The 18,112-nt window shown below is 42.9% G+C and overlaps 1 annotated feature.

Moving 5' to 3' along the window:
- Positions 8,890-9,443: an enhancer, noted in NCBI's record as "NANOG hESC enhancer chr2:16965833-16966386 (GRCh37/hg19 assembly coordinates)". NCBI's record gives its function as "activates a minimal SCP1, AML or CMV promoter by ChIP-STARR-seq in primed H9 embryonic stem cells {active_cell/tissue: H9 hESC(primed)}" and the evidence as "EXISTENCE:reporter gene assay evidence [ECO:0000049][PMID:30033119]".

Consider the following 18,112-nt stretch of genomic DNA (forward strand, 5'->3'; position numbering starts at 1 on the left):
ATATAGGGGAGATACCAGGATTATCCCCATTTGACAGATGACGAAATTGAAGTGCATAGGTTGTGCAAGATGCCCTATGCCCTGAGGTCCCAGGATGAGGAAATGATGTTGTCGGTATTTGATCCAAGCAATCTGGCTGAGAGCCCGTACTCTTAACCATTGCATGGCCATCACAATCCAGCATCAGTTATGCAAGCTGCGGGCAGGGCCACCTGGGGAAAAGAGGATCCTTGGCAGGGATGTAGGAAGCTGCAACTTAAGAATTTTCAGTCACTGCCATTGTCCGTGCATCTGGAAGGGCTAATCTCTGCTCTCATAAAAGGCAAGGCTCTTGGTTATAATTTCCAAGTATGAATATATGTCCTCCCAAGGTTTCAGGGCTGGAGGAGAGGGAGCAAGAAGGGATCTTTAAACCCTGCCAGGGGTAGGGAGTGAGTGTAAAATCAGTGTCAAGTCTATAAAAACAAGTTTCCAGGATGTATAAACAGCTTCTAAATGTGCATACATGTTAATCCACTAATTCAATTTCTAAGATTCATCCAAAGGGAATACTAAAAGCATAAGAAATTTTTTCTTTTTTCTCTTGAACAGTATACACATCACAGCTTTATTTATAGCAGAAAATTTTCAAAAGAGCCTATGTAGTCAACTTTTGGGGATTGATCAAGTAAATAAGTAAATCTATTAAGTAGAATAAAAATAGCTAAAAATATTATTTTTGAGAAACTTTTAGTAACATAAAGAAATATTTGTGATATAATTCTGTGTGAAAAAATCAGGGAGCAAAATTAGGCCACATGCAGTGGCTCACTCCTGTAATCCCAGCAAGCACTTTGAGGATTGTGCCTTGAGCCCAGGAGTTTGAGATCAGTCAGGGCAACATAGCAAGACTCCATCTCTACAAAAAGTAAAAACTTAGACAGCCATGGTGGTGCACACCTGTGGTCCCAGCTACTTGGGAAACTGAGGCAGGAGGATTGCTTGAGCCCAGGAGTTTAAGATTACAGTGAGCATGATCGCACCATCACACTCCAGCCTGGGTGACAGAGTGAGACTCTGTCTCTAAAACAATAACATCAACTACAAAAATTATATGCAGCATGAACTCACAAATTTGTGGAAAGATCTCTTTATATATGTGATTGAGAAAATGATCAGAATATTTCAGAAAGATAGAATTTGGAGACATTTTAATTTTCTTCTTTATATTTTCCTAACTTTCATAATAATTGAAAACTCTTGCAATTAACAACAATTTTGTTGATGACAGAAATAATGATAAAATAAATATTACTTATTTTTATTAAGTGCTTACAGTACGTTTGGTGATATAAGAAAGACACCTATATTTAAAGTACTTTCCTTACAAAGCCTAGCATTATATATGTATTACTGTATCTGTTTTACCAAAAATTAAATTAAAAGGTGAAGAAATTAATTGGCTTCCTCAAAATGTATTAAATAAACAAATTATTAAAGGTAGCTAAGTATAAGCATTTGTGACATGCTCAAGAAACGAATTGGCATCTATTTAGCTGCTGGACAGAGCTGAGGAAATCACAGGAGTTGGGGAATGAAAGGAGAGTGGGGCTGAATCATGGAAAGCCTCGAATGCCATACTAAGCGGGGGACTCTATCCCACTGGCAATGCGGAATCAGATGCACAAATTAAAAGGGAGAGAGAGAGATCATTGTAACACTGTGTGTGTGTGTGTGTGTGTGTTTGTAGGTGTGTGTGTGTGTGTTTGTATGTGTGTGTGTGTGTGATAAAGTCTCAAGGAGTAGTGCTCAGCAGCACTTACTGACATTGCATGTCAGTTGCGGCCTTCATTAGAGACTACATTTCCATACACTCCCTGCAATGTAATTGTTACAGAATTCTGCGGAGTGTTCACAGAGTTTCCCTGCATGAAAAAGGCAGAGGTAGTCAGCCCTCCAGGGTGTCTAGAAGCAGATGAACACAGTCAACACAGAGTATCTTCAAATCCATCATCTCTGTTTCTTTCGTTTATAGCATCAAGTCATGTGCGATTTGCACTGCAGGGGCTCCATTGTCCTGCGTGACTAATTTCTTTGCCACCTCAGCCAATGTCTGGTTAATGCTACAAACCTAGCTGCACTTGGCATTTGCCTTCAGCCTGAGAGACGCCAGTTCTCCAGCCTGCACACTCCATGTATGTCACCTTATTTGCACCACATAGATCTCTCCCCATATTACTGTGACCTCCACCTCACCCAGCCAGCACGTGCCATGAATCCCTGAGTCCCTGTCTGTTCAACCATCTTGATTGGAACATCCGTTGTGTAGTCAAGAATCCTGGCCATTTTTATCCAAACCGTGCATGAGGTGGCACAATGTTCCAATCATTTTCTTTCCGTCTGGGTGTATATCCAGAAATATAAATATCTAACACTTTCACAACACTTATTCTATGTCAGATGCAGGTCTCAGGACCTAACTTACATTAACACCAGTAACCCTCAGGATAACCTTCCAAGGTGGGAGCCATCCCCACTTTACCAAGAAAACAAAGAAGGGCTCAGGGACTTGCCCAAGGTCACGGAGAACTGCCAAGACTTGAATTCACAGTTTTGATTTCAAAGTCAGTGTTCTTAATCGTCGCACCATGCCGCCACTCACAGCCAGAAGAGAACATACTCTAAAAGCTTAGGAAATCTTACTCAATCACAGTTAACATAGTTTCTCTACTCATGATGTTCCAACCCTGAGCTTTTGATGTGCAATCATGGCTGGTTTTAGACAGATGTGTGATGATGATGCATTAGCTACTATATTTAGTGCTTCCCTCCCTCTGTCCCTTTTCTGTCTCTTCTGCTACTTAGAAGACTCCTTATTTTCTCTCTTCTTTCTTTGGTAAATCCTTCCTTTCCTGGTTATCTCACATGGACCCATGATTTCCCCACCCATCTCCCTTGCTGAAGATTCTTGATCCAGTCTCCAACCTTCCCCACCATCCAGATGTAAATGTCCAACAACAGACTAGATAGCTCCTCTGTATGTGACACAAAGACATCAAACTCAGCACATCCCAAACCAGGCTTATTGCCTCACCCTCCTGCCTTGTCAATGGCTCCCCCTGTGTCCTATTCCCAGTGAGAAATCTCAGAGTCAGTTTTGACTCTTGCTGTTCCTTGACTCCAGTATCTCCTGAGTATCTCCTTTCTGTTGATTTTTATCTCTTCCTCCTTGGAATCAACACTTTCCTGGCTCATCTTGCTCTGGTATGTCCTTTTTTTTGGAAATGGTCTTCCTGGACCTGAGTTACAGTTAGAAACTCAGGGATCAACAATTTACTTAAAACATTGTACTCCTCCTCCCTCCTCGATTTCCACCAACTGAATGCCTGGAAAACATCCCAGGTGCCAAGATAATGTAGCTGGAAAGTGAAACAAGAAACTCAACAATTTCTAAAAGAAGAGGGCTCTAGAAACTTGCAGGGTATTAAACACGAGAGTGCAAGCTTGTAAAGCCATTGAATCTACAGGAAAGTTAAGAGCTTGGTCCCCGCTTTCAGGCAAGGAACTGGAAGGTAGCCTACTGATGTCACTCCTTCTCTCAGACCCATTCTTCATGGTCCAGATAAATGTCACCTCCCTCACGAGCTTTTCCTGCTGGAACCTCTTGGCTGTCTAGACTACCTGGGAAATTTATTTACCCCTTGCTATGAACTGAATCTTTGTGTCTCCCCACAAATTCACACGTTAACATTCTATCCTTGAAGTGGTGGTATTAGGAGGTGGAAGCTTTGAGAGGTGATTTGGTTGTAAGGGTAGAGCCCTTGTGAATGGGATTAGTGTCCTTATAAATGAGGCCCAAGCGCCTCAACCCTTCCATCCTGTGAGGACGCAGTAAGAAGATGCCATCTATGAATCAGAAAGCAGGCCCATAGTAGACACAGAACCTACACATGTCTAGATCTTGGACTTCTCAGCCTCCAGAACTGTGAACGATACATTTCTGTTGTTCACAGCCTCTGAGTCTAAGGTAGTTTGTTTTAGAAGCCCCAGCTGACTAGGACACCCCCTTCACATGATACTCAATGATGCATGGCCCATATTTTCATGTGCTTGTCTCTCCCGTTAGGTTGGAAACTATAGACCGAAGTCTGCTTCTGTCCAGAATAAGCCTGGCCACAGAGGCACTTCCTAAAGTTGGCTGAGTAAATGAATAAATGAACACAGTCTGACAAAAGCAGTGTGCTAGATTGCATGAAAAAATGGCCATGGTAATTTCTCCCTAGTATCCATGCTCTTGGGTGACTTTCCCCACACTGACACTGAGTTTGGCTGTGTGGCTTGTCATGGCCTGTGGGATGATAGTGACTATGACACAGGCATCTCTGCAGGGCTGACTAATAGAGGATTCCCCTCTCCCTCTTCACTCAGAACTCTCAGACCACCATGGGAATGACCTGAGCCACACTGTTAGATGCTGAGTGGTGAAACAGAGGACTGAGAGGCCCCACCCTGCCAGCAGAGCCAGGTACCTGACAATACCTGGTGTGAACATCAGCTGAACTGGCTCGGGCCTTGAGAACCAACAGCTGATGCACAAAACCATGAGATGAATAGAACATTCATCTTTTAAGCTTCTTAGTTTTGGAGCGGTATTTTATGCAGCAAAAGCTAACTGGACAGTCACAGATCACTAATTTTCAAAGAAATTGATATGGTTTGGCTGTGTCCCCACCCAATCTCATCTTGAATTCCCATGTGTTGTGGGAGAGACCAGTGGGAGGTAACTGAATCATGGGGGCAGGTCTTTCCCATGCTGTTCTTGTGATAGTAAATAAGTCTCATGAGATCGGACGGTTTTAAAAAGGGGAGTTTCCCTGCACAAGTTCTCTTCCTTCTTTGCCTGCTGCCATCCATGTAAGATGTGACTTGCTCCCTCTTGCCTTCCGCCATGATTGTGGGGCCTCCCCAGCTGCATGGAACTGTAAGTCCATTAACCTCTTTCTTTGTAAATTGCCCAGTTTCAAGTATGTCTTTATCAGCAGCGTGAAAATGGACTAATACAGAAATGAAGTGCAGTCAAGCTGTGTATTCACTAAACAGCTTTTGCTGCTGGTAAAATGGAAGCAAATAAACAACACACCCATATTCTAGTCAAACAGCCTTAAACTCAAGTCTAGGCTGTCACCTACTAGCTGTGTGATATTGAACAAGTTACATTGCCTGTTAGGTATGAAAACTGTCTTTCAGGTTCTCGAAACATGTAATGAAACTATACTTATAAATTAGCTAATAGAAACTACTGCATAGTACATGGTCAGCATATGTTTGGCTATTTCTCGTGGCTGGTCTGTGATTGAGAATGAAGCTCTGACTCTCTTCCCATGGACAAAATTTTAACCCTTGTCCCCTCTCCTAAGTGCAGACAATTCTTTGCTATTTAAATATATGAACGAAACAGACTAAGACAGTTAGTACCAAATCACCCCAGGTTAAGTCCTGAATTGTTTCTGAGGAGTGAATTCCTTACACAAGCATATGAGTCAGCCTTGGAATTGCATAGGTGCTCCTGCTTAATTAACACTTCCTACCTCAAAACCAGCAAATAAACAAAACAGTGACCAGATTAGGAGGACAATCAAATTTCTGTCAATGTAGGTTCTCTCCCTGCCACATTCTCTACATGTCCAAGCAAAATCTTAGATAAAAAGATTTGGGGCACCTATTCCCAAGTCTTCCTTTCTTGTAATTTTAAGGCACTCTGCGGCCCCAGAGTTAGAACATTTCTCAGGGCTGGAGGGGTGGATGCAACACTTCACCAACCATTTATGATGTATTGGCTGATTAGCCATGGTCTCTGCCTTCATAATGCACTTACTCTACTAGTAGGAGACAATTCTATGAGTGCCACTCTATCAGGAAAGCTATGGTGAGGGTTACACATTGTAATGTTAAGTATGTCAGGTGTTTCAAGCTCTAGGCTAAGTATATAATGAGTTTTATTGACCCAGGGAATTTAAAAATGGTGCAAATGTCACTATCACAGATAGACCTGCCCTTACCACCTCATCTAGAATAGGTCCCTCAGCTCACCTTCTCTGCCCCGTGTGCCCTTCGCCTCTTCCCCTGCTTTTCCTTCTCCTTACCACTTATGGCTCTCTGAAACCCTATTATTTACAAACCTGTCTACTTCTTTATTATTAGCCTCCCCAGGAATATAAATTCTAAGAGGGAAGGAACTCAGTATGTCTTGTCTGTTGCTGCCCAGAACGGCACGTGGCACACAGAGGGCTCTCATTTGTTGAATGATATGAGATGGACACCAAAGCAATGGGTGAGGAGTTGACTTGTGTCTCTTTCTCCAAATAGGACAAGAAGCTCTCGGGATTGGGACTGTGTCATATGTGTAACACAAGCTCCCAGCACTGTGCCAGGGACATCATGGGCCCTCAATCCATATTGGTTAATGAATGGGACAGGAAAATCCACTGGTAAATAGTAATATGCATTGCAAAAATGTGATTTCTGATATTGGAGTTTTTCAGATCAGGGCAACTCAGCAATTAAGTTCCCTTGGATGGATATATTTTAAGGAGTCATTGCAAAGGTAACTAGATATAAGACTTGTATTTTTATTTATTTATTTGCACTTTTCAAGTAATTTGGGTTAGTACAATGTAATTTTGCTAACTCAAGGTCTTCACCGAGAATGTAATTCTTAGCATTATCATCTTACTCTGTATTTAACAATTGCCACATCTTTCCTCCCCAGGAGCCTCTAGGCCCTTGGAAGACAAGGATCTTTATGTCTATAATGACCAGCTCAGTGCTTTGTTTACAGTAGATGTTCAGTAAATGTTAAGTTGAATAAATGGATACGTGGCTGAGCATTTCTTATCACTCTCTACTGTGGCTGTTGTGCCCTCAAGGGCTGCCCAGCCTTCTTCTGGCTAGCTGACCCTACACATGCCAGCTTCAGGTGGCTGTCCCTTTGGAAATGCTGTGTCACCTTCTGGTAGTTTTCTTGCTTCTCCCATGATCATTCCAGTCATGTCTTTTTTCTGTGCAGTTGACTTGCCTGGTAGGACTAATGATCAAAATATTGAACAGCTTTGCCTGTGACAGTATCTTTTCCTCTCTGACTATCTGCCTTTGATCTCATGTGAGCAGAGGAAAAGGAACACAAGTTTGTTAGCATTTGTGGCAGATTAAAGAAAGCTGAAAATTCTTTGATGCTTTTCACATTAAGAAATGGGTCTCTTTCCCTACCTATTAAATCTGGACATCATCAGTGATGGTTTTGACCATTAGAATACTGCAGGCCTGGCCATGTGAGTTTCCAGGCACAGGCTTAAGTGATGGTTTTTGCTCCCTGTAGCTCTCCTGAAGCCCTAAACCATCAGGTAAGAAGCCCACGTAACTGCTAGAGAGACAGAGGAGAGCTTTTGAGACTTCCTGTAGCATAGGAGGATCCCAGCTGAGCTCAGACCATCAGCCAGCCCACCATGGCCCCAGGCTAGAGAATGAAGCCATCTTGGACTCAGCAAAGAGGCCAGCCGCCAGCTGAATGCTGCCCAGGGAGTCCAGTTGGTGGTACAGGGGACAGAATTGGTCAATCGCATTCTGCCAGGATGCCAGACCTAAAAAATCATGCAATATAAGAAAGCAATTATTTTAGATCACTAAGTTTTGGGGTAGTTTGTTATGTAACAACAGAAAAGCAAAACAGCATAGATAATAAAATAAGATTAAATAAGTCTCAAATGGTCACTTAAATGTAATGCTCTGGGTAAAGGGCAAGAAAATTGTGATCCACATTGTGGTTCTTCAGTGACTGTGTGCATTTCTTGGCTGATTCTCTGATGCACTCAGAAGTGGTGAGCTTGCTAGAGTATGGGGTTCCATAGACGAGAGCACCTACTGTTTGCAAACACTGTTGTACACAAAAATGAAGTACTGGTTAAGCAAAAATGAAGTTCTTGGCTAGAAAAGGGTACATAAACCAAATTAATAAGCTTTTGTGAAATACCTGCATCACTTCTGTTACATTGTTTTGAGTGTTCAGAGAATTAATAAACAATATTATATGCATTTAATTTACTAAATACTTGTGTTTCCAATCTGTACAAGGTATAGGACAGTCAGAGGGTACAGAAATGAAAACTATAAACATCTGTGATTAGTTGTACCTCACATGTGTGGTGGCCCTGATAGCCGCAAACATTTTTATAGTAAATATACTATTTTATCCTTATAAGAGGACTACGTGATGGGCAGGGCTGGCTATTTCATATTTTATAGATTTACAGACAAAGGCCTGGAAACATAAAGTGGTTATTACAGGCTGCATTGTACCCCCCAGACCCCCATTCCTGGGACTTGTAAATATGTTACCTTATGTGGTAAAAGGCTTTGACCATTTTGGATTATTCAGGTAGACTTATTAAAATCATAGGGTCTTTTTAAGGAAGGAAGAACAGAGCTAGGGTGAGAGAAGGATGATGGAAGCAGTGGTTAAAGTGCAATGCTTTGAAAATGGAAACAGGGGCCACTAGCCAAGCAATGCAGATGGCCTCTAGCTGCTGGAAGAGGCAAGGAAACAGACCCTCCCCTATAGCTTCCAGAAGGCAATGCAGCCATGCTGACACCTTGATTTTAGCCTGTGTTACTGGCTGAATTATGTCCCCTCCCACCAACTCATGGGTTGAAATCCTAACCCCCAGTACCTCTGAATGTGGCTGTATTTGGAGACAGTGTCTTTAAAGAGATAATTAAGGTTAAATGGGGTCATTAGGGTGGGCCCTAATCCAATATGCATGGTATCCTTATAAGAAGAAGAAACGTGGACACAGACATGTACAGAGCGATGCCCATGTGAAGGCACGATGAGAAGGTGGCCATCTCCAAGCCAAGGAGAGAGTCCTCAGAATGAAATCAGACCTGTCAACACCTTGATCTTGGACTTCCAGCCTCCAGGACTCTGAGAAGATAAATTTCTGTTGCTTAAGCCATCCATCTGTGGTACTTGGTTATGGAAGTCTGAGCAAATTAATGCAGTGGTGTGCCCTAGCTACTTCAGGTCATTAGAGGCAGAGTTGAGAATGGATCCAGGAGTTGCGTCTCCTAGTGCTTCTCCTGCTGCCTAAACTACTCTCCCTCCTGCTGGACTCTGGTGCAATGGTTACAAATTGCTTGTATTGTAATGCGAGCCTCCATCAATCTCCAGCTGTGCAATCTTGGAAACATTACTTACACTTTCTGTGCGTGGTGAGGACTACAGCATGTACTACCTGTTTAGTGACTCTCTGATATTGTTTCTGGTTTCTGTATTCCAGATGGAAAGAGGATGAATGTTTTACAGCAAAATTCCTGAGAGCCTTTCCCTAAATGTTGATCACTTAATAAAATAAAGAGAATAGAATGGAGGAATGAGGTATAAGATCTTGAATGTACAAACTGCACACGAGGGACAGCGTTTCTTTTCTAGTGTAAACTGTTAAATTTTGCAGCAAATCTCTCTCCTATATGAGCTATAGAATCTATAATTGTTTGCAGGGGTGGAAACCATTATGCATCAATGTCACTGTCATCAAATAAAATGTAAGTGCCTACAGAGACACAGTGTGGTCTAAGGAGTTTTGCAAAGAACCCATAATTGGTATCCTGCTGTTCAAATCATCGAGAAAGTAGGAGCTTGGGGCAGGAGCTCCTGGCTGCAGATTTTATACATGATTCTCACGAACCTTGAAATGTCAGACCAAGGCCATGCTCCCCCCTCCCCTATCCAGCAAATTCCTGAGGGCTGTTCTTCCTCTGTCATGGACAATCAGTGCTGTGCGAGGATGTTCTCACATCCTAGAAAGCCTGAGGTAGTTTCTTACAGCCAATATGAATCTGTGATTTTAGCTCCAGAACCCAGAGTGGCAAGCCCAGGGAGGCAGAAGATGATCCAGGCACCTGCCTGTGCAGCTCAGGAAGTGAGGGCAGTCCTCTTTTGTCTTGATGTTTTCTCCTTTCTTTGTTTGTTTTGAGACAGAATTTCACTCTGCTGCCCAGGCTGGAGTGCAGTGGCGAGATCTGGGCTCACTGCAACCTCCGCCTCCCCAGTTCAAGCGATTCTCCTACCTCAGCCTCCTGAGTAGCTGGAACTACAGGCACACACCATCACACCTGCCTAATTTTTGTATTTTTAGTAAAGACGGGGTTTCACCATGTTGGCAGGGCTGGTCTCAAACTCCTGACCTCAGGTGTTTGAGACCAGCTCAGCCTCCCAAAGTGCTGGACTTACAGGTGTGAGCCACTGTGCCTGGCCCTGTTTGTTTGTTTTTTGAGATGGAGTCTTCCTGTGTTGCACAGGCTGGAGTGCAGTGGCACAATCTCAGCTCACTGCAAGCTCCACCTCCTGGGTTCAGGTGATTCTCCTGCCTCAGCTTCCCAAGTAGCTGGGATTACAGGGGCATGCCCCCACACCCAACTAATTTTTGTATGTTTTTTAGCAGAGATGGGGTTTCACCATGTTGACCAGGCTGCTCTTGAACTCCCGACCTCAACTGATCCACTTGCCTGGACTTCCAAAAGTGTTGGGATTACAGGTGTGAGCCACTGCACCTGGCCAATATTTTGTCTTTTCTGAGATAAATCTCAGTTCTCATTGTAGTGAGACCCTGAAGATACTGGTACACAGGCCCATGGACCCTACTCAGCTGTTCTGACAAACCATCAAAACCAGCTGTGTGGAGCTCTGTGTCACTGAATGCCAGAGCATGTTAGGGCTAAATTCTGAAAAATCCTGGATCAGAAAATACGTATCTTAGAATAAAAGAACACAACATACTCTTTAGCTCTGTCTTCTGATAACTTTCATTTTTTGTCTTATTTAACTAAAGACAGGTTATAATCAAGCCTAATCTTTTTCTCACACAATTAAAACAAAAATTCCCCAGGATAGCTTCCTGAGCCCAGCCTGCACACCTGCAGACCACTGGTAGTCATACAAGGCCCCGAGTGCCAGGCCAAGTGTTGCTGTTGCATTTAAATCATGGTGCTTACTCATGGCTCGTGCTAGGTCTTAACTCTTCATGTTCTCATTCATTCCTTTGTTAATGCATGTTTTAAGTATGATTTACTTTAAGCCACATGCTAAGCATTCAAAAATTAATGAGCGAGAGGTCCCTTCTGCAAAGAGGTTTACAGTGTAGTGAAAAAATAATGGTACTATTATGATTGGTTAGCAGTCTACGATATGCCTTCACAAGTGTTTTATTTACGTAAAGGTTTCTCAAAAATGCTGAAATCTATGGCTATGAGCCCAATAGTAGCCTCATACTCCCTCAGGGCTATGGAGAGCTTCTTCCTGCTTAGCCCACCTCCTCCTGGGCATCGATGGTAAAATCACAGATCAATTATAAAAGTACCTCTTAGGAAGAGCTAGCAGGCAGCCCCAAGTATGTCTCTGAGAGTTCAGTCCAGAGTCCAGAACCCCCAGTAGGACTATTCAAAGTACAGTACCTGGGCCACTGGCTACTGCTACAGTATTGGCTTCCAGACTGCATATGGTGAGTATGCAGAGAGATGGGAAGAGGGAGGACTGATAAGAGGAGAGAGAAAGAGAGGAAAAGGGAGGAACAGGGAATAAGGGAGTCAAGAGTAAGTAAAGAGAGAAGGAGAAGAATGCTCAAGTGAGGGAAGGACTGGGAGTGGGAGAAAGAGGAGGAGAGGAGGAGAAAGCAAAGGTAAGAATCCAGCATGGCCTTGTAGCCTCCAATGAGGTTATATGTTTATTTTTCAGTAGTTCCTATCACAGGTACATAGTAACAATCTCTGTACTGTATGAATACTACTCATCCATAATTTATAAATACTATTTTATTTAATGGGATAATATAGGTGAAGTCTTATCTGAGGATAGAACTTCTTAATGTAATGAGCATTGCATTATGTATGAAGGATTTAAGATGATACCCATAAGGCTTTAGCAAGAACATTTTTGAAATAAGAGTTCCTTCGTGTTTGACATGGATTCACTCACTCATCTAACCAAGCAAACTTTTTAAAGTGGCAGTCACTGGAGAAATAAAGATATTAAGACACAGCCCTGCATTCTAGGGGCTCCTAGTCTAGTGGTGGGAAAGACAAGCAAACAGATCATTATGCTTCAGTGTGAAAGTGCTAAGGGTTTGAAGCCCAGAGTCCTTTGGGATGCACAGGGGAGGCAGAGATGCCTAAGCTGAGACATGGAGGTCCATTGTCATGATCTAGGTGAACATTGCAAGGGATCAGCATGTGCAAAAGCCAGGTAGCAGTGTCTATTTTGGGAGCTGCCAACAGAGTAGAAGGTGAGGAAGGGTGCATGCAGGAGATGAAATCAGAGAGCAAAATATGGAACAAGAAGACAAGAGGCTTTGTAGGCTGCTGTCTTCTGGGAGTTCTCTCCTGCTGAAAGCCTCTGCAAAAATACTTACACTTAGTTTTTTTTTCTTAGAGGTACCTGATCTCCTGCTTCTCTTTTCCTTCCCTCTCTTCCTTCTTTCCTTGTAGCTTTCTTTTAATCTCATGTGCTCCAGAAAAAATTAATCATAAAGGTGGCCTTTGTAACCATCAACATAATGGGTACTGCAGTTGGAAGTTAGAAGCTCCAATTCCATTTGATTGTTTTTTTTTTGGCCCCAGCAGGTCCTTTCTTCTCTTTGGGCCTCAGTTTCCCTATATCTAATACATGGGAGGGAGGGGTTGATAAGTTTGTTTAAATTGTCCTTTCAGACTGAAATATTCTCTATTTTGCTCGTCAGAACTTAGATTTGCATAAGAAAGACCTAATTAGTTCTTAGAGTGTTGGGAGAGGGTTTGTTGAACAATTATTAATTTTTGAGGGAGGCACATTTTTATTTTCAGTCTCATCAACAATAGATTGGTGCTGGAAGGAGAGGCCTGTCACTGTTTTCCTGCTGGTGGTGCCTTGCAGGTCTAGTGTGTGTCCTGAACTCTACATCTACGTCAGAACATCTCCAATCCAGCCTCGGAGCTTGAAAACAGCCTCTAAGGACTGGGGAGTTGAGTTTCTCCATTATATTTTGGCTCTTTTAAGTTTAATATTTCTGCAAACTTTTCCCTTGGTTATTTCTAAATAACTATTGTTAATTTTAGCCATTTACTGGTTGCCTACTATACACCATTTACCTGTCATCTTTGAATATATTACTTGCTTATTCTATGCAAAAAGTACATTGAAGTGTGTATTATCACCATAGTTTTGTAAATGAGGAAAATAGAGTTCCTCTTTTAAAAAAATTTTTTTTTATGAGACAAGGTCTCACTCTGCCATCCAGGCTGGAGTAAAGTGGTACAGAATCCTAGCTCACTGCAGTCTTCAACTCCTGGAATCGAGAGATCCCCCTGCTCCAGCCTCTAGAGTAGCTGGGAATATAGGTGTGAGCCACCATGCCCAGCAAAAATACAGTTCTTCAAAGAGGTGAGGTCACTGGATTGTAAAGAAATAATTCAGAATTTGAAACCAAATCATGTGACCCAATCGTTTGTCCTTTCCACTCTGCAGCACGTCTCCCCAAGCAGACCCTAGAACCCACACGTCTTCCTCTGTTGTGCTGCCTCGTGCTGGGCCCCAGGGATCAACAGCTCAGCAGCAGATGGGGCATTCTTAGGTGGTGTTCTTGCCTCCCCCTGTGAGATCCAGACCCCCAGAATCTCACTGTATGTCCCAGGCCCTCAAGAATTAGTTATTATTCATTGATAATTTAATCTTCACAATAATTTTATGAAGCAAATATCATTGATTCCATTGTACATGTGAAGAAACTAAAGCCTACCAATGCATCCCAGGCCTCACAGTTAAAGTAGTCATTGATTTAGACTCACTTCTGTCCAACTATAAAATCTGGGTTACTCCAGTCTATATATTGACTCAGTAAAGACATTTTGAATTAAAAGGTAAGATAAACACAGCCCTTACTAGAGGAGCAGCCATCTCACTGTGGCTTTCTGCTTCCTGCGCTAAGTCAAGGCTGTTGCATTTAGGGCAGGGCCCGTTTGAACCCTGGGATCTAGGCAGGGCTGTCCTCACACCTCTGTGGGCCATTGGTCACCCTCTTGGACTGCAGAGTGTCCTTCCCATGGTCAGTTCCACATGGCCACTGAGAGCTTTGGATAAAAGCTCTCAGTGAAAGCTGAAAACTGAAAGCCCAAAGATAAATCAAACGTGAGCAAAAGGCCCTACAGAGACCCTGAAGTAGAGTGTTTGGAGCCAGGGAGCAAGGTAGAGGCTGAGGCAGGAAACTAGTGTTAAAGGAAAAATTATCTTGACACTTTTTAAAATGGTAAGGAAAGCTTTATTCAGGATTATCTTTTAATAAGCAGAGAAGTCGTTCTGGCCAGCCCATGGAGCATGTACAGTAAGGGGTTTTGTGTCCTCTGCTTATCCTTTTGATATTGGACAGCCAAAGACTCCACCCTCAGATCATGCTAATGCAGCCTTTTTTTATTTTATTTTATTTTTTTGTACAGGGAACCTGTGAATGGGCATGAAGCTCTTATGTACATCTTTCTCCTTTCATAAATATTCATGACTTATCCTGCAGCTTATGAAATATGTATATTTGGCCACCTTGCGCAGCATAAATTTCTGTTCCCTTTGCCCCTCCTTTGAAGTGCCTGTTTCTGGCTTCTGGCTGGAGGCTAAACTTCCCAGCCGGTCAGAATGGCCAACCTGAAGGCTGCAAATCCTTTCTGAGAAATAAAGCTCCCCTTTCCAAATTTCTGAAACCTGTTATTCTTCAATTTATATCAAGTTAAAAAATTGTTTTCACATATTTATCTTACTTTTATTTGACACACACAGTCTGTTGTTATGCTGATTGTGTTTTATTACAGTTACTTTACCAATAAGAAAACTTGGTCCCATAGAAGAGAATATTTTGCTTAGGGCAGCTCACAATTTAATAGTGAAAGGAATTCTTGAATACAGACACTCCAATTCCCATCCTTGTCTTTTATGCTCATGTTAAATGCTTGGGCCTCAATCACCTGTCCCTTGTTCAGTAATGAGGGCTCTCTTTTCAACCAAACTTTATCAGGCCCCTCTGAACTCTCCTCTTAGCCTCGTCCTTGGGCTTCTGTGTCTACTCTTGAAGAGTTCAGTTTAGCAAGAATCCTGCTAAGTTAGTTTAGAGAGAATCCTTCTACTCTTAAGATGTGATTACCCTGGCCTGCTGTATTAGTCCATTCTTGCATTGCTATAAAGAAATATCTGAGACTGGGTAATTTATAAGGAAAACAGGTTTAATTGGCTCATGGTTGTGCAGGCTATGCAGGAAGCATGACGCTGACATCAGCTTAGCTTTTGGAGAGGCCTCAAAAAACTTATGGCAAAAGGTGAATGAAGAGTAGGCACATCTTACATGGCAGGAGCAAGAGAGAGTGCAGGAGGAGGTGAGATGCTACACACTTTTAAGCCATCAGATCTCACAAGAACTCACTCATTTTCACAAGTGCAGTACTAAGGGGGACGGTGTTAAACCATCCATGAGGAATTCACCCTCACGGTCCACTCACCTCCCACCAGGCCCCACCTCCAATATCGGGGATTACAGTTAAACATGAGATTTAGGTGGGAACACATATCCAAACAATATTACCTGCCCTCAGCAAGAATCCTGTTAGGTCAGTTTAGCAAGAACCCCTGCTCTTGATGTCTTCTCTTAGTAATTGTCCATCCGACTCCCTCCAATCTGCTTCTTGGCTGCACATTCCCACTTGTTGTAATGGGGTTGAGCCTCATTTCTCTCCTTATTAAAAGATAGTCCTGAATAGCATCTTCCTTATCATTTTAACAAGTGTCAAGATAATTTTTTCTTTAACACATCTCCTTACTCAGTCTTCCTGAAGAAATGCTGGTTAGTTGTGCTGAAACTGCTAAAAGGAAAGGCAGCTTCAGGTGGTTGGTTAATATCAGTGGGTGGTCTTTTGAAATGGTTGATGTATTAGTCTGTTCTCATGCTACTATGAAGAAATACCTGAGACTGAGTAATTCATAAAGAAAAGAAGTTTAATTGACTCACAGTTCTGCATGGCTGGGGAGACCTGAGGCAACTCACAATCACAGCGGAAGGGGAAGCAAACATGTCCTTCTTCCCATGGTGGCAGGAGAGAGAAGTGCTGAGCAAAGGGAGAAAAGCCCCTTATAAAACCATCAGATCTCATGAGAACTCACTCACTATCATGAGAACAGCATGAGGGTAACCACCTCCATGATCCAATTACCTCTCACAAGGTCCCTCCTTTCATGCAGTCTGTGTGAAGAGACCACCAAACAGGCTTTGTGTGAGAAATAAAGCTGTTTATTTCACCTGGGTGCAGGTGGGCTGAGTCCCAAAAGAGAGTCAGCGAAGGGAGATAGGGGTGGGGCCATTTTATAGGATTTGGGAAGGTAATGGAAAATTACAGCCAAAGGGGGTTGTTCTCTGGTGGGCAGGTGCGGGGGTCACAAGGTGCTCAGTGGGGGAGCTTCTGAGCCAGGAGAAGGAAATTCACAGGGTTAATCACTCAGTTAAGGTGGGGCAAGAACAAATCACAGTGGTGGAATGTCATCAGTTAAGGCGGGGCAGGGCCTTTTCACTTCTTTTGTGATTCTTCAGTTACTTCAGGCCATCTGGGCCTATATGTGCAAGTCACAGGGGATGCGATGGCTTGGCTTGGGCTCAGAGGCCTGACATTCCTGCCTTCTTATATTAATAAGAAAAATAAAACAAAATAGTGTTGAAGTGTTGGGGCGGCGAAAATTTTTGGGGGGTGGTGCGGAGAGAGAATGGGCGATGTTTCTCAGGGCTGCTTCAAGCGGGATTAGGGGCGGCGTGGGAACCTAGAGTGGGAGAGATTAAGCTGAAGGGAGGTCTTGTGGTAAGGGGTGATATTGTGGGGTTGTTAGAAGAAACATTTGTCGTATAGAATGATTGGTGATGGCCTGGATACGGTTTTGTATGAATTGAAAAACTAAATGGAATAAGAGAAGGAGAAAAACAGGTATAAAAGGTCTAAGAATTGGGAGGACCTAGGACATCTGATTAGAGAGTGCTTAGGAGATTCAGCATAGTCCTGCCAGCAAAGATTATTTATTTACTTCAAGAGTTTACAGTGGCAGTTTGGGGATAGCACCAGGAGATATCAGCTGTGATGGCTTGGAGAAACAGTGTAAACCGGCAGTGTAAACAAGAGTAGGGCATGTATGAGTAGTTGAGAACGGTGAATAGGAGTATGACTAGACAAAAGATAGTAGGGATGACAAGTTTTTTTGGGGCACAGTCTAAGTTGGTCTGGTGTCGAATGAGACTGGGGCCTAATAAAAAGGAGCGTCTATACAGGAGCTTAAATGGGTTGTACCTTGTAGCATTCTGCGGACAGGCCTGAATTCTGAGAAGCGAAAGTGGTAAAAGTATTGTCTAGTCCTTTTTAAGTTGGTGGCTGAGCTTGGTAAGGTGTGTTTTTAAAAGACCTTTAGTCCGTTCTACTTTTCTTGAAGACGGAGGACCGTAAGGGATATAAAGGTTTCACTGAATACTAAGAGCCTGAAAAACTGCTTGGCTGATTTGACTAATAAAGGCTGGTCTGTTATCAGACTGTATAGAGGTGGGAAGGCTAAACTGAGGAATTATGTCTGACAGGAGGGAAGAAATGACTGTGGTGGCCTTCTCAGACCCTGTAGGAAAGGCCTTTACGTATTCAGTGAAAGTGTCTATTTAGACTAAGAGGTATTTTAGTTTCCTGACTCAGGACATGTTGAGTAAAGCTAATTTGCCAGTCCTGGGTTGGGGCAAATCCTCGAGCTTGATGTGTAGGGAAGGTAGGGGGCCTGAATAATCCCTGAGGAGTAGTAGAATAGCAGATGGAACACTGAGAAGTTATTTCCTTGAGGATAGATTTCCACTATGGAAAGGAAATGAGAGGTTCTGAGAGGCAGGCTAGTGGCTTGTACTATAGCATAGCCTGCCTTTGCTGGTGTGTGGCGATTAGGCCTGGTGGAACCGCCATCAATAAATCAAGCGTGATCAGGGTGAGGAACAGGAAAGAAGGAAATATGGGGAAATGGGATGAATATCAGGTGGATCAGAGAGATACAGTCATGGGGGTC

The sequence above is a fragment of the Homo sapiens genome, chromosome 2 (assembly GCF_000001405.40).
Source record: "Homo sapiens chromosome 2, GRCh38.p14 Primary Assembly".
NCBI classification, from domain to species: domain Eukaryota; kingdom Metazoa; phylum Chordata; class Mammalia; order Primates; family Hominidae; genus Homo; species Homo sapiens.